Source organism: Homo sapiens, chromosome 7 (genome assembly GCF_000001405.40).
Source record: "Homo sapiens chromosome 7, GRCh38.p14 Primary Assembly".
In the NCBI taxonomy this organism is placed as follows: domain Eukaryota; kingdom Metazoa; phylum Chordata; class Mammalia; order Primates; family Hominidae; genus Homo; species Homo sapiens.
The window spans coordinates 45,910,310-45,935,377 of NC_000007.14; the positions used below are offsets into that span (position 1 = coordinate 45,910,310).

A 25,068-nucleotide genomic window follows, 5' to 3' on the forward strand; every position below is an offset into this window, starting at 1 on the left:
GGGTACCCTCATCAACAATGGTGATTTTTATTTTTCCTAAAGTGTGTTGATTTGATAACTTAATCTTAGGAAGCTGTTGTTGTAGCACCTGCATCACCTTGACTCCCATGGAGGAGACCACCCTTACTTGTTCATTTCTGTGTGTGTCTGCGTGCAGGTTGCTTGGGTACATGTGACCTTAGGGGTTAGTGGAAGCAAAAGCCCCAGGGAGCAGAAGTTGCCTGAGGAAGATGGCAGAGGATCAGAACCAAGGCAGGGAGGTAGAAGAACTGGAGGGTCCAGAGGAGAATGAGAGTATGCAATTTTAAGGTATTTACTGGAAGTGGCAGGAGAGCATTTAGAGGGAATAGTTGATCATAGGTATTGTGTCAGGGTTTCCCAGAGAAACAGAACTAACAGGTTATATCTATCTGTCTGTCTATCTATCTATCTATCTATCTATCTATCTATCTATCTATCTATCTATCATCTATGTATCTATCTCTGTCTAATCTACCTATCTATCTAATCTATCAATCTATCATCTATCTAGTCTATCTACCTACTTATCTCTAATCACCCACCAAAAAAGACTTATTACAAAAAATTGGCTAAGTATGGAGGCTAAGTCTCACCATCTGTAATCTGCAAGCTGGAGAACCAGGAAAGCTGGTGGTGCAATTCTGCCCACGCAGACAGAAAAAAGGCACAAACCCTTCTTTCCTCTGCCTTTTGTTCTATTCAGAACCTTAATGGATCGATGGATGCCTGCCCACATTGGGGAGGGCAATCTATTTTACTGAGTCCACTGATTTAAATGCTAATCTTATCTGGAAACACCTTCACAGATACTACGCTCACAGTATCACCCTCACAGATGCTGTACCTGGGCACCCCATGGCCCAGTCAAGTTGACACATAGAATTAATCATCATGAAGTGTGGGAAGCAGCAGAAGTTAGAGGTTAAGAAATGAGGACAAGAAAGGGCACATGAGTTGGTGGCTCCCAGGAAAACAAACCCAGTGGGCTTAGAAGGCAAGCATTATTTTGTAGCTCATAGCTCTTCAGCAGCTCCCAAGAGGTTGCCACGTTCCGGTCCTGGATTTCCAGACACTTGGCCTCGCTCCCCAGGTGCTCCAGGATTCTGCCGCACAACTCTCCGTGACGCTTGGTGCCTGCTCCCTGCAATGGGCTCCTTCTGCTCACTGTCTCCCTCCATCCTCACAGCCTTGCAGTCACAGCACCCCCAAGGGGCCTGCTTTCTCATTTGTCCTGGTTTCTCATGTGATCAGCCTGAGACCACACACCACAATACCAGTCCTCTGAACACTTACAGAACCGGCTTGCTGCTCATCACATACAACACGTGATAAGGGTATCATTTTAGATGTTTCATCAACAAATCAGACATGGCGCTAGACAGGAGGTAACTCGACAGGAGGTAACTCTTCGACTGCAGTTTATCCTTGGATGCTCTGAAGCCACAGGCTCAGTGTTTTGTCTAAAGTGGCTTTGACAAGTAACAATTCTTCCAAGGCTGCAGATGAGGGGGCTTAGATCCCAGAACCCCTTCTGCTTGGAGCAGAGAAGGGCCACTCTCTGATTGGAGATGGGAAGGGGACAAAGCGGTAAAGGACACGAGACTGAATTGCTGAGTGTCTGTTCTGGTCCTTCCCTGCTTGTCTGTGGATGGCTGCTAGTGTTAGATGGGACAATACAGGACACAACCCAAAAAAGGCAAGGACCAGTCACATAGGTGCACATTGCTGACCTGATCAAACCTGGGCCACAGACTGTCCCAACAACACAACCTCCTAGAATTGGACCATCTTGCAGATATGACCCAATGCCTCCATAGGCTTCCCACAAAGCCATGGAAACTGACTTGGGTTCTTTTGCTAAAAGGGAAAGCAGGGAAACATTTGTGGTTATGAAGTTTTCCACTACAGCTAAAATATTTTCCCCTTTCAGGATTTTATTATAATAAAATAATTATTATATAATAAAATAAAATAATTAGTGATACAAAGCCCAGAGATGGTCAATAACAAAGGGAAAGATATTTTTTTAATGGTAAAAACTTTATTTACTATTTATAAATACATTGCAAGACAAACTTCTCAAAAATACTTTTCCCCCCAAAAAGTTAAAAAAATAAAGAAAAGCTAATAGGTAGGCAGAATGTCTTGAGACCCCTCTGTTTTCAAGGAGAGCTCTATGCAGCGTGTGTCCACACCGAGGTCTGCAGCAGGGCAGAGTCTCCCTGAGCCTGACTTTGCCAGACCTTCTTGGGTTTGGCCTCCGGGAGAGCAGCCCAGTCTCTGGGCGTGAGCTCCTTTCCTCAGTCATGGCCACAGTTGTATCATATAGCATCTCTAACATTTCATCTAGGATTATCTAGTATAGATCTTACTATATTTGGGGCTATGTTGTATACAATGTTAACAAGAACATATCTTCTCTGCATATATGTGTGAATTATAAAGAAAAGCATGAGAATGACTCTAAGTTCAACAAACATGGGTGAATCTCTATGTGCTCCCAGTGTCCTGGATGGGCTCCCCAGCAAGCCATTCCTCCTTCCTGTTCTGATATTACTATTCTTTTTTACATTGTGCTAAGGAGGACAAAAGATGAGAGATGAAAATAAAGCTTTGCCTTTAAAGAGCTTATCCTCAGAAATAAGCTTCGTCTTGAGTTGTTGAACTACAAAACACTATTTTCTGCAGTCATCCGAAGAATTGTGCCATTACTTGTGATGCCTCTGAATGTGGAGGCTGACTCTCCCTGTCTCTCTGTCCCTCCTACCCCACGGGGCCGCAGCAAAAGCCATCCTGGGCCTTCGACTGGGCCATGTCTTCAGGAAGATTCCTGAAGAGGAGGGCCCGAAATACCTGCCTTTATAGGTTCCCAGAGTGCCCTAGAACATTCTTAGATACATATTTTTTAAACAAGTAGGACTCCACCTTATTTTCTCCAATAGTCCCCAAGCAGTACAGGTCACTTGAAGACATAAACATTCTTCTTGGTTGAGGGATCCACGCCCTTGTTTCAGAAATGACACCACAGAAGGCTGTGAGCTCCAGGAGCATGCGTTGGGATGTCCGGATGACCGGGGTTTAAAGGTTTTCCTATTCTCGATAAAGCCTGTGCGCACTGTACGGGGAGTGGGGGTGAAGCGTGTTCTCTACATAGGCAACACAGCCGCCTAAGTCACAAAGTCAGTGGTCGGCCGCTTCGACCAACATGTGGTGAGCATTCCACGGGCGCATGAAGTCTGGGTGCTGTGCTCGAGTCTCTGAATATTTTGATAGGAAGCGACAAGAAAATTCAAACTGCTCTTTGCTGACTACTGGAAAGTGAAAAGATGCTCAAGTTTACCATTCAAAGAAACCATAGGCATTTCAAAAACCTCTTTCTAAACTTTGGTTTAAAAAAAATCAGTTCACCACAAACAGAAATATAAATCGAGGCTGTAGCCAGCTGCTGGTCATGTCCTTGGCAGTCTTTTGTGCAAAATAAGGCATATTTGAGCTCCACATTAACTAAAACAAAAAGAAAAAGAAATATATTGAAATAATCCCCCCAAAATCAAAAGGGCTCGACTCTTGCCCTGAGATATCCAGCACAGCCTGCAGGCTAATGGCACTAGGCCTGCAAGTGCAGGGCTGGGGTCTCAACTCATGTTTTCAAACAAAGCAACGAGTACCAGATGCTGCTCACAGTGTTCATTGTCAAAGAGTTACCCTTAAATTAGAATTATTTTTTCCAACTTGTAAGGAAAAAAGAAACCCTTATAACTAAACATGCAAATTTCTTCTGCTTACTAAATTTGTCTTAATAAAATGAAAGAAAATGTATTTATTCCTTTCCCCCAATAGTTCCCTCATTTATTAAAAGAAAAAAGAAGACTGGATATAATAGCATTCTCTAAAATTATCGTTTAAAATTTCATTTTTCTATCAGATTTAAATTAACTTTATTAAAATTATATTAGCCACAGACTAACAGAATATTCATTATATATTTTACAGAAAAAAAAAGCTGCATCTTCAAACTGATGCTCTCCCAACTGAGCTATTTCAGCTGTCTCACATTCACATCTTTAATTTAGAAACATGTATCTTTAGCAGGTTCTTGCGGATTAAAACGGTTTCTCTGTGAAGATAAATGGACCTCCAGACCTCACGGGTAAAGCCTAACTTTGAAAATCTTCACTTTGTGTGTGGATGAATGATAGCTTAGGTGCTGTGAGGTATCTGAGATAAAGCAGAGTGTCCCTGAGGTGCACTGGCCGGCCTCCTTCCCCACACTTGTTTGGTTGGGTTGATGGGGTCTCCCTCTCCCTGCACCCTTCTGAGGGCTCTGTCCTATTTGCTTTGCTCTTTCTGGCCCTGAGCTGCAGCTCCTGGGTCTGTAAGCCTGGGGAAGGGCCAGTGGCCACGCCCAGCCCCTGAGGCTGGTCCAAGGACAGTGAGGCCCTGGAGCCCCAGGCTGCCCCTCCTGAGTACTCACCCTTGCGGCAGGCGTCTACTTGCTCTGCATGCTGTAGCAGTGCACGTCCTCCTTCCCCTTGGTGGTGTAGCCTGGGAGAGGCTGCCCATACTTATCCACACACCAGCAGAAGCCCCGCTTCCTGCCTTTGGAAGGGCGACACTGTGGGAGAGAAACAGAAGACAGAGAAGTGAATGCTCCTGGGTCTGGTGTCAGGTCGGTGGCCAGGGCGCATGATGGTTTGCCAGCGTGACTCTGCTATGCTGAGAAAGCACAACAGAAATTTCAGCTAAGGCAACACAAGAGCCATGCGTGCCTAGGCCCGCTGAGTGTGCGCCTGTGCATGCGTGTGGGTGTAACTTCCTGCTCCAAGAAAGCGGGGGTGGGGGCAGTTTTGTGTTTCTAGGAGTATAAGGTGGACACCAGCCCTTGTAGAACCTCTTGACTGACTTCTCTGCCAAATGTGGGACTGAGAACATCCCCGCTGCCTGCGAATGTCACAGCTATGACTTTGGAGCCCACATCCAGCCTCACATGACACCTTCTCAGTATGACTTTGTTGAATGAATATGACTTTGACAGAAAACGTGGGTATAAACGAGCAATGGCAATGGAGGAAAGCTTAGGCTTTCTGACTGTGGCCACTACTATGAATCCTAGTATATGGTCACCCTGAGGCCACTGTGGCTCACTTAGGTCTCCAAAGGCCAATTCTGTAGATAGCATAGTATCAATTGTCCAATTAGAAAGCCAATTGAAATAGTGCCATCACATAACACAAAGCCTATAGAAGCATATTTATTACAGCTTAATATTACTATATCTTAAATTTGTTTGATCATTTTCAGGTTAATTGGGATTTTAGGCATATGACTACATTTGGGGCTGATGTGTAGCCAGGATTCTCACTCCATTCCTTTTCCAGGAATGGGACTATGTTGCAATATAAAGATTTTGAAAAGACTGTTGTTTGATGTTGATGACTCTCATGCCTTCTTCTCACTTGGACTTTCTAGGGAAATGCCAGTGAGTCGGAGGAAGACCACATGGCCAGTTTGGAGAGACTGGCCATCCCCAGCATGGACCGAGTGTCTGATTTCAAGTTCCATCCCCTCCACGCCAAGACAGACACCTGGTATGTGCTGGGGATGGCTGGGCTCTCCAAGCTGGCCATGCTGCAGTCATCCCCCCACTCACTAGCATTTCCTTGAAAAGCCCAAGGGAGACAGAGACACACGAGTCACCAACATCTAGCAACAGCCTTTTCAAAATCTTAATATTGCAACCTGCTCACTATCGGGAAGGCATCAGTAGGAAAGGGGACGATTGTGGGATTTCAGGGTAAGCTTTTTGTGGTATGACCTCATGTCACACTTCTTGGAAACTGACTATAATAGTTGTTTGAAATGTCACTCCCTGACGCAGCATTAACAAATGTGTTAACATGTCCACTTGCAGTTTATAAAGGGTGCCACTGGGCAGCATCTTGTCCGCCCTGTGGGTGAACCATTGAAAGGACAGGAGTGGGAAGCGGGTGGTGGAAAGGCACTAGGGTTGAGGATTATGGCCAATATAGCAGCACTCAGAGCAACAAGTCAAAGCAGCCCTTGGTCTGACCTCCTGAGACTGGCACCAAGTCCTGGGCACTGGTGCTGCACAGGCTCAGAGTTAGAGCTATGGCCAGAAGAGCCTGGGGGCTGGTGAGATGGGTTTCTCCTCTGTGTCAACAGAAGAGGAAGAAAACACACTGAGGACCTCACTCACCTGCTTTTTCTTATAAAATCCCTTCTTGTCACAGTTGGGAATGTGTACACCCCTGGGACTCAGCACATTGAGGAACTTCAGGTGATTCAGTGTGTCTTCCATTTCTCTACGGCAGGGACCCTGGGGATCAGGAAGGACCAGAGCAACAGAGTCACAGTTTTTACTCTAGAATGTGTGCTTTAAAAATCTTACGATGCTGCACAACTACCAAAAGTGGGACCTGTAATTTGCTCCTCAGATACCTTATGTCTGATGTAGCACGAAAGTCCCCCGAATAAGCTAACCATCACTCCCTGTCTCCTTTTTGCTCTTCCCAGAGTAAGGCACAGAAGCTGGTATGGAACCAATAGCAGGTCAACAAGCATAGAGGATGAAGTAAATAAAACTATCTTTATGAGAATATTTTTCATTATCTGCAGAGGTCTTTATGACATCCCATATGCTTTTAAGAGTGTTATTTCAGCTTGATCCTCATAAGATTCTCCAAAAGGGTCAATATTCTTTATGTAAGGAGAGGAGAGAGGTAGGGCACAGAGGGGCTAGGGGTTGCCCACCCATCAGCCAGGCGCTGGGGTTTGTTGAGTAAGAATTGCCCTCAAGAGGCTCTGAGTACCCAGGCTTGGCAGGTCTTGCCCTCCTCCTTTAACAAGAGGAAAAGCTCTCACATATTCTGTCTCCCGCTTGGACTCGGAGGAGAAGTTCTGGGTATCTGTGCTCTGAGACTCGTAGTCAACTTTGTAGCGCTGGCTGTCTTTAGCATGCCCTTTCTTGATGATGATTATCTTTGAATGGAGGGGGTGGAACTTGGGATCAGACACCCGGTGCGTGCTGGAGACGGACGGGCTCTCCACACTGCCGGCGCTGCGGTCTTCCTCCGACTCACTAGCATTTCCTTAAAACGCCCAAGAGAGACAAACACATGAGAGTCATCAATATCTATCACAGTCTTTTAAAAATCTTAACGTTGCAACCAGGTCACATGTAAATGACAATATTAGTTGGCAATCCAAGTGAGTTTTTTTTTTTAAAATACCTCGATGAAGTATTATTCCATCATACTACTCACTACATGGTGGTTGCTCTACCTCAAGAAGTTATCTGTTTGAAAGTCAATCTGACAGGTGCTCTTCCTAAGTAGCTGCAACTAAAGAAGGCAGACAAACGCTTCAGTGCCCCTCAGTAGGTGAAGGCAGTATGCTTCATCTTCCACCGGCAGGGGGCAGACCTGAGCCACGGGAGGCTGCTGCAGCGCCGGCTCAGAAATTTTGCAGTCAACTCCAAGTGTGGTCCTCCCACCCGCGGGAGCAGCGGCAGCCCGGGGACTTGGAAGAAATGCACATTCTCCACTCCGGAAACGCTGGAGTGGCGGCAGCAGTCTGAGTTGTAACAAGCCCTTATGGGAATTCCAAGGTTGACCAGTACCGTCCTCAATGCTACCAGGTAAACACGCTTATAAGAGCTTGGTGTCCAGCTCAGATGGGAAAACTGAATTATTACCTGCAAAGCGTTTTGCCTCAGGGGCTCAGAATCATGCAAGCATGTTGGTGGCTTGTTTTCTAGGTCCCCGTTACATCTCTAAAACTCAAGGTCTACACAGACCCTGTGCATCTTGCTGGTGCCTGCCTAAGTGAGTCCTTTTCACCCCGGGTGAACACAGCAGCACATGGATGCAGACAATGCCAAAGTCCCACTCACGGCTCAGACTTCTAAGTGCCAAAGAGCTTTTCCTTCCCTGGGTGGGGGTGGGGTAGGAGAAATCCCCCTCCAGCAGATCTCCCTTTTATAATAAAAAGTGCTAAATGAAGAAAGTCTGATGCTTAAAATGGATGCTGGAATGTTAACAGTTGAATTGGAATTTTAAGTATATGACTAAATTCAAGACTGGATCTGCAGCCAGGATTCTCACTCCATTCCTTCTTCAGAATGAACTTGGAGGGGCTGTAAGACCGCTATGGGGATCAAAGGCTACATTCAGAGCCCATGCTCCCAGGGCCTGTGGACCATGCCAAGGTCTGGAGGCATCGGCTTAAGTCCACAATTGAGAGTCATGAAATTTCTCTACTACAACAAACAGGGCTATAATGTGTAACCCTAGCAGGGAGCTCAGGTGGCCCATCTGGTCCACAGTCTATTCTAGAAAGCTACCTGGGGCTGCAATGATTTGGCTGCAGATGCTCTGCTCTCCCCTGGAAGTGGCTACTGGCAGGTCACTCACCAGGGCCTTAGGAAAGTCCCTCTCCTCTCTGGGTCTTAGTTTCCTCACCTGCCAAACAGCTCACTGAGGTCCTGCTGTAAAGTTCCCCAAGGGGTTTCATACCTTGGGAAGCACACATTCCCAGGGTCCAGCACAGAGCCTCACAGAGGAGGTCCCTACCTGCGAGGATTTGGTTTCAATTTCTTTTAATCTTAGCTTGCTTTCTTTTTCAAGGAAATACTGAGATAAAAGAGATACTAAGAATGTAAATACTCTAAGAACATGTAAATAAACGTATTTATACTTCTTTTCTAAGAACCTTGAGTAATTTCTTAAATTTCCTTGGTTTCTTCTTAATGCCTGGGCTGCAGACTAGGGCATGAAGACAAAACAGTTCTATTTAAGCAACAGATAATTGTGACTTTTGACTGTCGAAAATTTACCTTTTTTTGTCAAATAGATTCTAGAAGTCACTTAGATCTTTTTATAATCTTATAACTCACATCAACCTATACTACAGTGCTACTAAGGTGGTAATCATGATGATTGCTAAAGCCCAAGAATGACGATGTGTATCAGTATTTCTAAGATCACTTTTTGAATACCCCAAAATGCACAATAATGTACGACACTTGGCAAATGACATAACTTTGCCCCGAGAGACAAATGCCTCCAGCAGCTTTAACAGCTGACCAGAGCCAGTGTATGTTTCAGGCATCTTGCCTTTCCATGAATCCAGCATTTCTCAGGGGTGAACAGAGCCAGCCTTGCCGAGCCAGAAAATAACTTCACCCGGGCGTGGAACTCTACAGCTACATAAATTATAAAGGGACTGTTCATCCTGCTAGCCCTAGATGGGGGCCTGCCCAGTGACATCTGTCCAACGTGATCGTTGGGGAGTTGGGGGAATTAGGATGGGGAGAATTCTCCCAGCCTTCAGCTGTGCAAGGCAGGAACTTTATTTCTCATATAACTAGGTGAGGCTGGCTAAGAATGCTTGAAAGAACAGCTGCCAAATCCATTTAAACAACCCCCGCTCCTTTTTTTAAGGGAACAATGTGATGCCCTTACCAGAGTCGCTGTCTGCCTGATACTGATAGTGGCTAAGCCAAGAGGGTAACTCTGCCAAATGTTTGCATTTTTCCTCTTCTGGGGCTCCCCTTAACAACATCTCATTCCCCCCCCCATTTCAGATTAAGAAGGGAGACAGCCCTAGGACTGATTCCAATTCCCTTCCGTGTCATTGAAATTGACTTAGTCCACATTGCCCGCACCCACCACGCACCTGGAAGTTTGTTTGAGGTCGGCGCAGGTGCAGGGGTGGCCCGAGTTGTAAGAATGGTATGGTACTGAAAGTGGCACGCGGAGTTCAAACCTACACTCTGTTGTGGCCGCTGGGTAACCTTAAGAAGTTACTTCTTTTTCAGCTTCAGGTTTTCCAACCGCAGAAGATATCAAAACCCGAATCCACTTTACTTGTTTTTGGACATACCGGGACTAGACATTGCTTTGCAAACCAAAAGGCTGTGCAAAGTCAGTATTTTAAAAGAGAGGTACTATTTCCTACAACGTGCCTGCCCACCTTCCTTGGTCCAAATCCGCCTATATCCCCCCCATCCCCAAGCATCCCTGGGATTGCAGTCCGTGTGCACCCCCGTGCGGGGCGAGGAGAATCTCCTGTGTCCAGGATCTTTCCAACAGCTAAACATCGGTACCGCTCCCCTCAGCTCCGGAAACCTTTAACCCATTTTCACTGAAAGCGCTTTGCAATTTACAAGTACTCTGCACTTAGAGAATCGAGCAAGTAGAGGGCCGGCTGGGGAGGGTCCCTCCGGCGACCGCCTTCACCTTTCCCGGAGCGCCTTCAGTTTCCCCACATATTATCTCCAGTGAGAAGAAAAGCGGAGTCTCCCGCAGCGGCACCCAGCAACCCCCAGGCCCTTCGGCGCCAGTGCGCCGGGTGCTGCACGCAGCGCACCTGGCGCGGGCGGCTCACCTGGAGCTGGCGGCGCTGGCAGCAGGTAGGCGCGCAGGCGGCTGACGGCACTAGCGTTGACGCAGAGCCCGCGGCCGTCCAGCAGCGCCTGCAGCGGTCGCGCCTCGTCGGGCGACGGCTGGCAGCGAAGGCCGGAGCCACAGCGCTCGGTGTAGATGCCGCACGGCTGGCCCTCGCTCAGTGCGCACGTCAGGCAGCAGCCGCAGCCCGGCTCGCGCACCAGCTCCGCGCACACGGCGGGCGGAGGCGCGCACTGGGCCAGTGCACGCGCGTCGCACGGCTCGCAGCGCACCACGGGACCCAAGCCCGCCGAGCTCGCGCCAGCCCGCGCCACCGGCGGCCCGCGGAGCAGCACCAGCAGAGTCAGCGCAGCGGCCCAGAGCGTGGGTCGCGCCCGCTGCATGACGCCTGCAACCGGGGCACGCTGCTTGGCAGGCTGGGCGCGCAGGGATGGGGCGACAGTACACGGCGCGAAGCTGTGGAATCCAGGCAGGAAGCGGCTGATCCTCAGCGCCCAGCCGCAGTGCTCGCATCTGGGCGGCCCGGGCGCGCCGGCCGCTATATAGAAGCCGGGGTGGCCCAGGACACGCCCCGGAACGGCGCGCCCAGGAGTGGGGGTTGGGAGGGGGGCGGGTCGGCGCAGGCACGGCTGCGGGGGCCCGTGCTTCGCCCTGAGCAGCCGGGGCCGAGCTCGGGGGCGTGCAGCTCGAGACTCGCCCGGGCACCTGCTCCTCGTGCGCACGCCCGGAGCCCGGGTCACCTTGTCGTCTACAAGAACCAAGGTGTGCCCGGCCACCCCGGCACTCCAGGCCACCTCAGCACCCCCGGTCACCCCAGTCACTCCTGGCCAACTCAGCACCCCCGATCTCCTTGACCCCGCCGCCCTTACCCCTTCCGCTCTCGGGGTGAGGTCTCCCTGCGGCGAGCCGGTGTCGGGGAAACTGGCATACAGCGCTCCGCATTCGTGTGTACCTCGTGGAGCTTTCTAAAATTTAATTCCGTTGGCAGGCGAAGTCTTGGGACATTTCTGACTTACATTTGGGTCTCAGGGAGCCAAGGCACTGCGGGGTTTAATTTACACCCGCTGGGCTGTTTATATCCCCAGGGGCCCACAAATACGCATCTGAAGATGCGCCCGGGGCCTTCGCCCCTTTCCAGGCTTACTTCTCAACGCAAGAAGACTCTCACGTGTTGCTACACCGCAAGTCTCCAATTAAGAGTGGACCGGCAAGCGAATGCGTCCTTAAGGCAGGGCTTTTCAAATATTTTAAATGACAACTGTTCTTCTTGTCTTGGGTATTCTCCCTGATTATGTTTTCAAATGGAGTTTACACCCATGACAAAAGAATAATAAAGACAATAAACTGGGCACTGCTGAAACGTAATTAACCAAATAGTCCTTTAATAGGCAATTTTCATTGTCATTTTTTGAAGGCGACTTCGTATTACTGTATTCTCGATGCGTTGGGATTCTAGCTTATCTCTGCAATCTAAACACTTTTCAGTAAAGTTCGGGGGCGCAATTGCGCGCTGAGGTCGCTGTAACTCCTGTCGGCCTTCTCTGGCACTCGAGTTTCTTCAGTTTTGTCTGCGCACCCCCTCCCTTCGGTGACCAACAGAGGACGCTGGTGGTCCAGGATTGGATTGAGGATTAAATTTTTCAAGGCACTTTTCCAAAGAGTTTGTGGGGGTGGAGTGGGAAGCGGTGAGACCTCCGCGGGAGGAGACTTTCCTGAACGCTGTTGAAATTGGACGCTTGCCTTAGGAGGTGGATAGGTGACTTGAAGGAGCCCTTTGCAGTTTGGAGTAGTAATAGCAAATCAGGAGCTCCTCCATTCCCCTCCAGCACGAAGCCTTGGGTGAAGTTAATCTTCATTCATCATTTCTGTCTCTCCTAATCGATCTCTCGCCCAGTGTCTCTCCTTGTCCCTCTCCCTCCCTTTCTCTCTCTCGTCCTCTCCCCTTTTCCCCCTGTCCACCTCTTCCCCCATATCTATACAGCTTCCTTTTATACATATATACTCTCCTTTTAGAATGGAAAGATCAATTTCGTTCCCTCTTGTACTAAATAAATAAATAATTGGACCTCTACAAATAAAAAGAGACCAAAGACAAGAACAATGGAGTGCCCCGGGGTGACGAAGGCCCAGCACCGTCATTTTCTTATGAGCTCTTCTCCCACAGTGCTCAGGCTGTGGCTACACTCAACCTTGTTTACAGGAAACCGTGCCATAATCGTCGCTTGCTGTTTCCTTTCTCTTGTATCACCTCCTTCTAGTATCTGCGTTGACACCCAAGAACAGGATCTCTGATTTCATTGGAAAATTGAAGGAAACAAAACGAATCCCCCAGGTTTACATCCGTTCCTTAAATACTCGCAGAGACCTTGACTCTGAAATTAGAGCTGGGTTCGGCATCAAATGCAATTCTTGAGGTCCCAGGTCTGCAGTTCTGGTTAGTGCAATGTTGCAGCAGAGCCTGGACTGACCACTGGTTAGTGTAGCACTTTTTATTCAGCTTTATCATCTGGAGAGTGGACAGGGGAAGATCAGAAACAATGTCTTTTTGGAAAGGATTAAAAAATTTGTTTTATTCTTGGTTCTCTTCTTTTTTCCCTCGCATTGCAGTTGGAGAAACTTGTTCAGTGCCGAATGGCTAGGGGGCGCCAAAGCTCCAGGCGTCCAGCCCGGCCTCAGGGACCACGGGACACACGTAAAGACTAAGTCACATTTCAACTTTCAAAGGCTATTCCAATAACAATGTTTTATATAGATTGCCATCACCTTTATCATGACATCTTGCAACAGCAGAGTAAATTTGAGGCAGTGACACGGGGAGAATTGTGTTTTGTTATTTAGCCAGTTTTATTTGATAACTGCAAGCTCCCTGCCCCTCCCGGAACATAATTGTTGCAGGAAGGATTTGGACTGGATAAAACTTAATTTTGTGACATGCTCGTTAATTCTGTTAAACTTCCAATTCATCTGGTGTTTGTAGTTTTTAACATAAACTAGTATTTAGTGAGAAAGATGTTTACCCCCTGTGAAGGTGCTTGGCATACAATTGCTAATCATTGCAAAAGTAGCGAATAACCATCCGAATAGAGGTCAGGAGGCTGCATAGATCTCTTTTCACTAACGGAGTCCAGCTGACCTGATTATAATTAGTGTTTCCTTTGGTCAGCCTCGTTATTTTCACCAGGTGACCTAAACCACTCATTTCTTTGAGCCCACTCCTGCTGCTAAAGGGCACCTTGTCGCTGCGTGATACTGGCTCCTTTGCTTTTCTTCTGCTCAGCCCCCAGCTGGACAAGCCACCCTAGGGTCTCTCTCCTTCTGACAGCACTACTGTTTCTCAGTGTCCTCTGGGGTGTGGCTATCAGTCTTACTGACCACCAATAGACTTAGAACAGAAAGAGCCAAACTTCTAAAGGCAAGCAGTGTTGGGGACCCAGTTGCTAGGACTCAGTGGCTCTCACCCTATAAGCTTCAGGTTTTTTTTCCCCTTTAGGGGACGTATTGGTGGAGACAGGAAATCTAATTTTCTCTCCATCAGATCGCCTGCTGGGTGAGCCTCCCGGAATTACATATACTGGGCTTGGGGATGCATTGGGGACCATCAACTGCCAACATCACGGTGGCTAACAACACTGCAAATGACTTTTACTCACAAATAACATCATTAAGAGTTCATCTATCCACTTAGTCCAAGAATGATTACTAAGCACCTCCATGTGCCAGCTGCAGGATTTCACAGGCTGGCTGGAGTGACTCACCAGAGTCCAGACAGTGGTAGGCAGTGTGACAGCAGAGAAAACAGAGAGGTTCACCGGGTGCATTTATAACCCTGCTGGAGGGATGGCAAACCTGTCCGTGTGGTCAGAAAAAACTTCTGAGAGGTGGTGGCATTTGAATTGAGTCTTAAACAATGTGGGAGAGTCCAGCTGAGAGAGGCAGGCAAGAAGAAAGTATGGGCATCCACAGAGAGTCATTCTGTGTGCCTGGAGGGACGAGGGGAGGGCTCAGAGGGGATGGTGTTGGCATTGTGCATGTGACCTGTGGAAGGCATAATTCTGAGATTTGGAAGAGAAGAGAAGGTAACTGGATATACTGGATGGGGACAGTGGTACCTGTGGCAGTGGAAATCCATGGTCCAGAGACAGGGGCTCCTCAGAGTTAGTGCTGTCCCGTGTCGTCAGACAATCTGGAGATAGATGCTCCAGAGAAGGGGCCTGGACATTGGGAGCCCACCCCATGGAAGGGAGGTTTCTGCTCAGGACAATGATACTCCTGTCATGGCTTTCTCTCACAATAGTGCTACCTTCTACATGTGGGCACCCACACCCTTGCCTACACAGTTAGTCATTTACATGATAAGAGTTACCTCTGTGTCTCCTGGTCATTCAAACAGAGGCAATTCCTGACTCTGTCTAACTTCCAACTTTTCTTCAAGGTTGAAGCTTCAGAACAATGAGAGAGACTGGGGACTTCAATCACAGTAGACTAGAGTTTATTCTTAACTGCTTGCTCAGTTCTCCTCTCAATAGCTTTCTGACATTGGGCAAGTTCTGCAACTCAATTCTAGGACCAGGTAAGGGCACTAGTACCTATCTTACAGCACTGATGGAAGGATGAACTCTTAGACACAGTGTTGCCTGGGGAATGGGAAATAAAAGTTCATCCTTGTGTTCACATAGCCACCTGAACAATCTTAAAGGTTTTATTCTCAAATGAGTCCTAGCACACAGCCCACATACCTTGTCTCCTTAGTTCAAATGTCAACATGCTAACAATTGAGTCTACCTGTGGGCATGACATACAGTCTTCAAACTGGCCAACAGTCTAGTATGGTCTTTCCCTGCCCAGTGAAGTCTTAAAAGGGGACAGGAAAGATTTTAGGAGCACTTTTCATTCAGCTGGTTTGTCCCCGGCACCAGTGTCAATCCTGTGTCTTTACCCAAGGGCATCTTTGGTGCCACTTCAAGCTCCTTTTCCAGCTTTGCAAGGCCAGATAGAAAGGAGAAGATTCCCAGTAGCTCTCCTATCATAGCTAGAAGAGTCCTGAGAGTCCTGTTATCTATCCCTTTCACTGGAGATGGAGAGACGGAGGCAGACCCTTTTTGCTGGATTTCCTAGATCATAATCCACAGATTCCATGGTGCCTCTCCAATTTGATAGACAGAGAGATAGATTTTTCTTTTTCATTGATGTATAATTAACATACAATGTACTACACAGATTGGAAGTGTATGATTTGATAGGTTTTGACATATGTATACATTTAGGAAATCGCTAACATACAAATGAACCTTTCCATCATCCTCAAAAACTTCTTGACCTTTCATAATCTTGAGCCCTCCTTTTCTCCATTCTTATCTCCTGGAAGCCGCTGATCTCCTTTCTGTCACACTAGATTAGTTTGTATTTTCCAGAATTTTATGTAAGTGAGATAATATGGCATCTACTTTTTTTCTCCTGGTTTCTTTTACTCAGCATGATTATTTTGAGATTCATCCCTATTGTATGTGTAAATCGGTCGTTCCTTTTTGTTGAGTTGAATTCTATTGGATGGATATATCACGGTGTGTTTATCCATTCATCTGTTAATGGACATTTGGGTTGTTTTCATTTTTTTGTGGCTATTAAACAGAAATAAGCTGCTATGAATATTTGGGTAGAAATCTCTTGAATATTTTTGTGGAAATCTCTGCATGGATGTATGCTTTCAATTCTCTTGGGTAAATACCTGCTGGTGGAATGTCTGGATTTTTAAATTATAAATAAAAAGCACATATATATGCTTTATTTGAAATATGTGTTATATATGTGTGTGTGTGTGTGTGTGTGTGTGTTTGGTGTTTTCAAAAATGTTCAAAGTGTATTGTACCATTTTACATCCTCATCTGCAGTATATCAGAGTTCCAGTTCTCCCACATTCTTGGCAATACTTGATATGGACAGTGTTATTAATTTTATCCATTCTATTAGATGGGTAGTGGCATCTCATCTTGGTTTTAATTTGTTATTGGCCTCATGACAAAGAATGTTGAGCAGCTGTCATGTGCTAATTTTTTTATCTGTATATTTTCTTTGGTGAAATGTCTGTTAAAATTTTTGCCCACTTAAAAAATTAAGACATTTGTTTTCTTATTGAATTTTGAGAATGCTTTGTACATCTTGGATATAAGTCCTTCTTTATTAGACATGTAAATTGCAAATATTTTCTCCTGTGGCTGGTCATTTCAGTTTTTAATGAGGCCTTTGAAAAGTGAAGATTTTAATTTTGATATGGTGCAATTTGTCATTTTTTTCTTTTATGAATCATGCTTTTGGTATTCTATTGTATTGTATTGTATTGTATTCTATTGTATTGTATTCTATTCCATTCCATTCCATTCCATTCCATTCCATTCCACCCTGTTCTGATCTATTTATTATGCCATCTGTTTTTATGCCACGGTTACAGTTTTCATTATGATAGCTTTATTATAAATCTTAAAATCAGGTAGTGCTACTCTTGCACATTTGTTCTTTTTCAAAGTTGTTTTGGCTCTTTCATGTCTTTGAATTTCTGTATGGGTTTTAGAATCAGTTTTTAAATTTCTACAGAAAAGGCTACTGAAATTTTGATTGGGATTGTATTGATTCTAAAAATGAATTTAGAGAGAATTGACCTCTTAACTATACCGAGTCTTCATACCCATGAGCATGACATGTGTGTTCATTTATTTAGGACATCTTTCATTTCTTTCAGCAATGTTTTGTAGTTTTCAGTGTATAAGTCTTATACTTCTTTTGTTAGACATATTCCTAAGTATTTCATATTTTTGGTGCTGTTGTAAATACTATTTTTTTAAAGATTTAAACTTCTAAGTTTGCATTGCTAGTATATAAGAGCACAGTTGATTGTAGAATACTGATCTTGTAGCCTGAAAACATGCAAAACTCACTCATTAGTTTTTGTAGTTTTATTGTGGGTTTTGTCGTCTGTGAATAAAGACAGTTTTACTTCTTTCTTTCTAATATGGGTGCCTTTATTTCATTTTCTTACCCTATTACACTGATTAGGACTTCTAGTATAATGTTTCAGAGGAACAGTGATGACATCCTTGTCTTGTTTCTGACCTTGCGGGGAATGCATTTGGTCTTTTACTATCAAGCATGATGTTAGCCGTAGGTTTGTCACAGATGACATTTAGCAGGATAAGAGAGTTACTTTCTCTTTCTGTTTTGCAGATAGAGCTGTTGATCAGGAATGGATGTTGATCTATGTCAGATGCTTTTACTGAATAGATAAAATGATCATATAATTTTGCTTTTAAGGTTATTAATTTGGTGAATTACACAGATTAATTTTTTGAATGTTAAACCTTCCTATATTCCTGAGATAGAGTGACTACACACACTTGGATCAGGATGTATCATTCTATTCTTTTAAAAAATATATTGCTGAACTTAGTTTTTAAGACTTAAAAAAATTCTAAAAAAATTTGCATTGGTGTTCATGAATGACATTGATCTGTAATTTTCTTGTAATGTCTTTTTCTTGAAGAGATATGCAGAATTCTTATTTTTTCCTTTACATGGTTGGTAGAATTCACCAGTGAAGCCATTTTGGACCAAAGTTTTCTTTGTAGGAAATTTTGATTTTTGTGCTTGCTTTTGTTTTGTTTTGATTTTGCCTCTGCAGACCCAGAGGGTGAAGCTTAAGCAACAGAGGAGTGTCGCTATGTCTCGAAACCTAATGTAATGTTTCTTGCTAGGTTCTGAATTTTCTTGGAACACATAAATCTTTTATTCCTTCCAATTTCTCCCTTTCGGAATGGGACTCCCTATGCTATGCCTGTCCCACTATTGTGTTTTGGAAGCAGATAACATGTTTTCGAGTTTAGAAAGTCCACAGATGGAGATGAGTTTTGCCCCAGGTTGGATCATACCCAGAATATCACCCATCTGGGCTACTTAGACAATTAGATGATGAGATTTGGGAATTTTGAAGTGATGATACTTAAATGAGACTTTAAGAGTTGATGTCATAGTAGGTTCTAGGGTTGTTGGGGTGCGGTGAATATATTGCACATGTAAGACACATGTCAATTTTTGGGGACTTCCAAGGGTAGACCATAGTGCATTGAATGGTACCCCAAAAGATACGTTGAATGTGACCTTATTTGGACTAGGATCTTTGGAGATGTAATTAGTTAAGATGAAGTGATACTAGATTATAGTAGGTCTTAAATTCAATGACTAGTCTCCTTACAGGGAAAAAAGAGTTTGGAGACACACAGACACACAGAAGGAAGAAGCCCATTTGAAGACGGAGGCAGAAGTTGGGATGTTGCAGCTACAAGCTGAGGAAAGCCAAAGACTTCCAACAATCCCCCAAAGCCCGGAAGAGTAAAGGATGGATTCTTCCCTAGAACCTTCAAAAGAAGCACAGCCCTGCCATCACCTGGATTTCAGCCCTATATCCTCCAGAACTGTGAGAGAATAAATTTCTGTTCTTTTAAGTCACCCAGTTTGTGGTAATTTGTTATGTTATGACAGCCCTAAGAAATTAGTGCACATGGTAATTATCACCATAATCAAGATACAAAATAGTTCCATCACCCCCAAAACGTCTCTTATGCTGACCCATTTCAATCACATCCCTACCTCTCCCCTAAGTCTTATTAACTAGTGATCTGTTCTGTCTCACCATAGTTTCATGATGGCCTTAAAATGTCATGAAAATGGAATCATACCATCATGAAAATAGAATCATATATTACCTTTGAGACTGGCTTTTATTTTGATTCAGCATAATGCCTTTGAGATTCATCACATTGATACATATATCAGTAATTAATTCCTTTTTATGGCTGACTAGCATTCTGTTTTATAAAAATAGCATAGTTTGTTGATCTATTCACCCATTGAAGAACATTTGGGTTATTTTCAGTGTTCAGTAATTATGGAAAAGCTACTATAAACATTTGTGTACAGGTTTTTTTGTGTGTGCAAACATAAGGTTCCACTTTCCAAGGTAAATATCTAGGAATGCAATTGCTGGGTTGTATGGTGAGTGTATGTTTAGCTTTATAAGAAACCACCAAATCATTTCTCAGAATATGTGCCATTTGCATTCACAGGAATATATGGGAGTTTTAGTTGCTCTGTATTTTCCTCAGCACTTAGAATTGTCAAATTTTTTGTTTGTTTTTTAGCCATTCTGGTAAGTATGTAGTGGCATCTCACTGCAGTTTCAGTTTTCATTACTGTAATGGTAATGAATTTTAACAACTTTTTATGTACTTATTTGCCATTTGTATATTCTCTTTGGTGAAGTGTCTGTTCATGCATTTTAACTGATTCTAATTGAACATTTTCCCCTTTACTCTTTTATTTGAGAGTTAGTTATATATTCTGCATACAAATTCTTTGTCACATCTGTGATTTGCAAATACTTTCAGTCTGTAGCTTGTCTTTTCAGGCTCTTAACAGTGTCTTTTAAGCAGCAAAACTTTTGAATTTGATATAATTTAACATTATTTTCTTTTATGGATCATGCTTTTGGTGTTATCTCTAAGTTCAGATCATAGAATTTGCCTCCTATATTTTCTTCTAATAGTTTTATGGTTTTACATTTTATATTTAGACCTAGGATCCATTTTGAGTTAACTTTTATAAGGTACAAAGTTTTTGTCAGGGTTGTTTTTTGCGTATAGATGTCTATTTGTTCCAACATAATTTATTGAAAAACTATCATTCCCCATTCAACTTCTTTTGAGACTTTCATCAATAATAAAATTGTTGTATTTGTGTGAGTTTATTTCTGGACTCTATTCTGTTCCATTGATTTATTTATATGTCCTTTTATAAAGATCTCACTGTCTCAATTACTACAGTAATCAAGATTACTATATAGTAAGTTTTAAAATTGGATAGTGTGATTCCTCTAAGTTTATTCTTTGTTTTAAAAATTATTTTAGTTGTTTTTAGCCTTTTCATATAAATTTTAATCTACAAGTTTTCTGTTGAGATTTTAATTGGAATTGGGTAAAGTCTTTATATAGATGTGGAGAGAAGTAACATCTTTATCAGTCTTCCAATCCATGAACATGGTGTGTATCTTTATATATTTAGATATTTTAAAGTTTACTTCCTTAGAGTTTATCATTTTTAGCATAAAAATTTTATAGGTATTTCATTACATTCATACCTAAATATTTTATGTTTTGGAGCTATTTGGAATGATTTTTTTTAGTTAAAAATTCAATTGCTCATTCTGGTATACAGAAATATGATGGAGTTTTCTTTGTGTTGACATTGTATCCTATGCCCTTGCTACACTTATCTATTTATTCTATGTTTTTTGTAGATTCTTTGAGATACTCTACATGGAGAGTCATACCATCTGCAAATGTAAACACTTTTATTTCTTCCTTTCTAATCATTCTGACTCATTTATTTTCCTTGCTTTATTGCAGTGGCTAGAACTTCTAATACAGTGTTTAATAGAAGCTGTGAGAAAGGACAGCCTTGCCTTGTTCCTGATCTTAGTGATAAAGCATTCATTCTTACACTATAAAGTATGATGCTAGCTGTAGAATTTTTATTGATGATTTTATTAAATTGAGGATGTCCTCTACTGTTTCTAATTTGATGAGAAGTTTTATCATGTTTGGATGTTGAATTTTGTCAATTTTTTTCTTGTATCAATTAATATGATAATATTTTTTATTTCAAGTCTTAATATAATAAATGACATTAATTTATTTTAGAATATTGAATCAGCCTTACTTTCCTAGGATTAAACCCCTTGATCATGGTGGAACTTAAAAAATACATATTGCTATTTTTGATTTGCTAAGAATTTGTTTAGGATTTTTGTTGTTATACTCATGAGGGATATTGGTCTATGTTTTTCTTTTTTGGTTTTATTTTATTTGTAATACAAATAAAACAATTACATATTTATGGGGTACAGTGTAATGTTTTACTATATATATAAATTGTATAATTTTTTAGTTTGTTATAAAGCCCATCCTGGCCTCGTAGAATAAAATGGGATGTATTCTCTTATTTTCTAGAAAACAATATGTATAATTTGTATAATTTTCTTCTCTTTAGAATTCACTCATGAAACTTGGAGATTTCTTTTTTTGAAAGGTTTTAAACTATTAATTTCATGTATAAATAATGAGTTAGTATGGGCTTTCTATTTAATCTTGGGTGAGTTTTAGTATTTTGTGGTTTCAAAGTACTGATCTATTTTTTTAAGTTATTGAATATATGTGCGTAGAGTTGTTGTAGTATTCACTTATTATTCTTTTACTATCTGCAAGGTCTGTGGTGATATCTCCTATTCTATTTTTGTCACTGGCAATTTGTATGTTCTCTCTCTTTTGTTTGTCAGTCTTGCTAGAGGCTTTTTAGATTTTAAAAAAATCTTATTGCTATTTTCATTGCATGTTTAGATCAGTCTTTCTGTCCTGTCCTGTGTGTGTGTGTGTGTGTGTGTGTGTGTGTGTGTGTGTGTGTGTGTCTGCTTTCTTTCTACAACCTTCTGCAGGGTTATTTGAGCCTTTTGTTTAAATATAACATTTTAATTTTCTGATTTATTTTTGACTTTATCTTTTTGCATAATTTCTTCTTAGTGTTTTTTTTAATTGCAAAAGATGTACTTAACCTTTGGTAGTCTAGTTAGAATCAATACTTTACCACTTAAAGAGGAATTTACAATATTTTCATCTTATAGGTTCCATTACCCTCCCCTTTTTATGTTGTAGTTGTTTTATGGATTATATCCATATGCATAAAAAACCCCATCAGATGATGTTTTTGCTTTTGAGTATTACATTTATTTTAAAGAACTCAAGGTGTGAATAGTCTGTTATATTTACCTAGATGTGTACTATTTCTGTTGAGCTTCATTTATTTATCATTATTTACTTAGGATTATTCCAGGTTTCCCTCTGATAACACTTCCATTCTGTTTGAATGACTTCCTTTAGTAATTGTTTAAAGTAGATGTGCTGACAAGATCCTCTGTTTTTCTTCACTTGAGAATGTATTAATTTCACCTTTATTTCTGAATGATATTTTTCCTAGAAACACAACTCTCAGTTGACTATTATTTTCTTTATTTTTTTTCTTTGGGGCTTGTTAGGCTACTTTATTATGCAAGTCTATGTCTTTGATTAAATTTGAGACATTTCTGGGCAATATTTCTTCAAGTTTTTTTTTCTAATCCACATTCCTTCTCTTCATCTGGAGAATGTTAGACTTTTGTATCACCTACAGGTCTCTGAGTCTCTGTCAACGTTTTCTTTATCTTTTCCCTCTTTTTTCTGATTAAATAATATTTATTTATCATCCGGTTCACTGACTCTTTCCTCACCTGGGTGGCTTGCCACCCACACTCATTCATCTCCATTCTGCTACTAAGCACATCTAGAGAAATTTTTACTCTGGTTATTGTATTTTGAAGTTCTAAACTTTTTATTTGGTCCTTCTTTATAATTTCTATTGCTTTTCGTGCAAAAAGTTTTTAAATTTTTTCCATAGGTTATTGGGGTACAGGTGGTGTTTGATTATACAAGTAAGTTCTATCATGTGATTTGTGAGATTTTGGTTCATCCATCACCTGAGCGGTGTACACTATACCCTATTTGTAGTCTTTTATTCCTCGCCCTCTTCCTACCCTTCCCCTTAAGTCCCCAAAGTCCATTGTATCATTCTTATGCTTTTGCATCCTCATAGCTTAGCTCTCACATATCAGTGAGAACATATGATGTTTGTTTTTCCATTCCTGAGTTACTTCACTTAGAATAATAGTCTCCAATCTCACCCAGGTTGCTGCAAATGCCACTAATTCATTCCTTTTTATGGCTGAGTAGTATTCCATCGTGTGTATATATATATATATATACACACCACAGTTTCTTTACCTGCTTGTTGATTGATGGGCATTTGGGTTGGTTCCATGATTTTGTAATTGTGAACTGTGCTGCTATAAACATGTGTGTGCAAGTTTCTTTTTCATATAATGACTTCTTTTCCTATGAGTAGATATCTAGTAGTGGGATTGCTGGATCAAATGGTAGTTCTACTTTTAGTTCTTTAAGGAATCTCCACACTGTTTTCCATAGTAGCTGTAGTAGTTTACGTTCCCACCAGCAGTGTGGAAAGTGTTTCCTGATCACCACATCCACGCCAACATCTACTGTTTTTGATTTTTTGATTATGGCCATTCTTGCAGGAGTAAGGTGGTATTGCATTTTGGTTTTGATTTTCATTTCCCTGATCGTTAGTGATGTTGAGAATTTTTTCATGTTTGTTGGCCATTTGTATATCTTCTGTTGAGAATTGTCTATTCATGGCCTTAGCCCACTTTTTGATGGGATTATTTGTTCTTTTCTTGCTGATTTGTTTGAGTTTGTTGTAGATTCTGCATATTAGAACTTTGCCGTATGTAAAGATTGTGAAGATTTTCTCCCACTGTGAGACTTTATATTTTTGTATTTGTTTCATGATTGTTATTCCATACTTTTCAGAGCACTTTCATAATAGCTACAGAAAGCCTTTCTCTTATTATTCTAATACCTCTGTCATCTCTACATTGGTGTCTGTTGACTGTTTCCCACTTGAGTTGATTTTTGGTATTGTAAATAATTTTGGATTCTCTCCTGGACATTTTAAATATTTTGTTAGGAGACTCTGGGTCTCATTTAAATTTTTTAAAAAGTTCTTATTTTTATTCTAGCAGGCCATTTACTCAGTTGAGCTTAGGCCAGGTCTGGCCAGCATCATTTAAGCTATGGTTTTAATGCCCTTTCCATTTTCCAAGCCTTTGCAGTACTGTTGGGATTTGTCCTGCATATGCATCACTAAGTGGCCAGTGCAACTTCAGTGTGAGCTCAGGAGCTCATAAACGACTTTATGGGGTTGACTTCTCAGTGTCCTCCTTCTTCATGATGTCTCACAAGCTCTCCAGTTTCCTGAGCTCCCTATTTTTTGTCTTCTAACTGGAAAGCTGTGGCTTTCTTCACTCTGGGTGGAAGGGTATTACTACTGTATACGTCCCACAATTGTGCCCATGTCTAGGCAAGCAACAGGTGACTGATGGGAAAAAACTCAGGGTTTTAGGTACCTGCCCCTGCAATTATCACTGACTCTTGTTACTATGGGGTTATCTGAAGACAGGGATATGAGACAACAAAAAGAAAAAGTGGGGGACTTCCTCTACTGTCTCTGAGGGATTAGCTTCTTTCTTGTTTCTCAAGCTAGAACCAGAGGATTTATCCTAGAAATTTCTCTGAGCTCCAGGGCCCAATTCTAGATTTGGAGGTGCCTCAGCTCTGGGTCAGGAGATCTACCAGAGGAAAAATGGGAAATTTACCACTTACGTAGCTTAGGATTTAGAATTCTGGTCTTCCTTCCCAATTTGCTTGCTACTGTTTCCTTATTAGAGTCCTCAAATATCTGCTCCATGCATTTCATGCTAGTTTTATTGCTGCATTCCATGGGAAAGACAGGGTGGAGTGTTCTTGCTCCATCTTACCTGGAACCAGACCATTCTTTTCATGCTCACAGCCCCCTTGCACGTGTGGAAGTACAGTGCTGGCTGCATTGAAGCATAGGTGGCTGTTGCTACTAC

General features: G+C 42.5%; 1 protein-coding gene across 3 annotated transcripts, besides 2 other annotated features; it reads right to left on the reverse strand.

Moving 5' to 3' along the window:
* IGFBP3 (insulin like growth factor binding protein 3) lies at positions 1,936-10,963 on the reverse strand. Of its 3 annotated transcripts, none has more exons than NM_000598.5 (5): positions 10,429-10,963; positions 6,904-7,130; positions 6,239-6,358; positions 4,496-4,636; positions 1,936-3,525 (listed from the first exon to the last, which is right to left on the reverse strand). In NM_000598.5, the coding sequence occupies exons 1-4, from the start codon at positions 10,829-10,831 to the stop codon at positions 4,511-4,513; spliced, it is 876 nt and encodes a 291-aa protein (NP_000589.2). In that variant the 5' UTR covers positions 10,832-10,963; the 3' UTR covers positions 1,936-3,525; positions 4,496-4,510. The 3 variants fall into 3 exon arrangements, with proteins under 3 accessions (NP_000589.2, NP_001013416.1, XP_047276281.1); NM_001013398.2 differs by having other exon boundaries at positions 10,411-10,963; XM_047420325.1 differs by lacking the exon at positions 1,936-3,525 and having other exon boundaries at positions 3,943-4,636.
* Positions 10,766-11,346: an enhancer, noted in NCBI's record as "H3K4me1 hESC enhancer chr7:45960674-45961254 (GRCh37/hg19 assembly coordinates)". NCBI's record gives its function as "activates a minimal SCP1, AML or CMV promoter by ChIP-STARR-seq in naive H9 embryonic stem cells {active_cell/tissue: H9 hESC(naive)}" and the evidence as "EXISTENCE:reporter gene assay evidence [ECO:0000049][PMID:30033119]".
* Positions 11,347-11,927: an enhancer, noted in NCBI's record as "H3K4me1 hESC enhancer chr7:45961255-45961835 (GRCh37/hg19 assembly coordinates)". NCBI's record gives its function as "activates a minimal SCP1, AML or CMV promoter by ChIP-STARR-seq in naive H9 embryonic stem cells {active_cell/tissue: H9 hESC(naive)}" and the evidence as "EXISTENCE:reporter gene assay evidence [ECO:0000049][PMID:30033119]".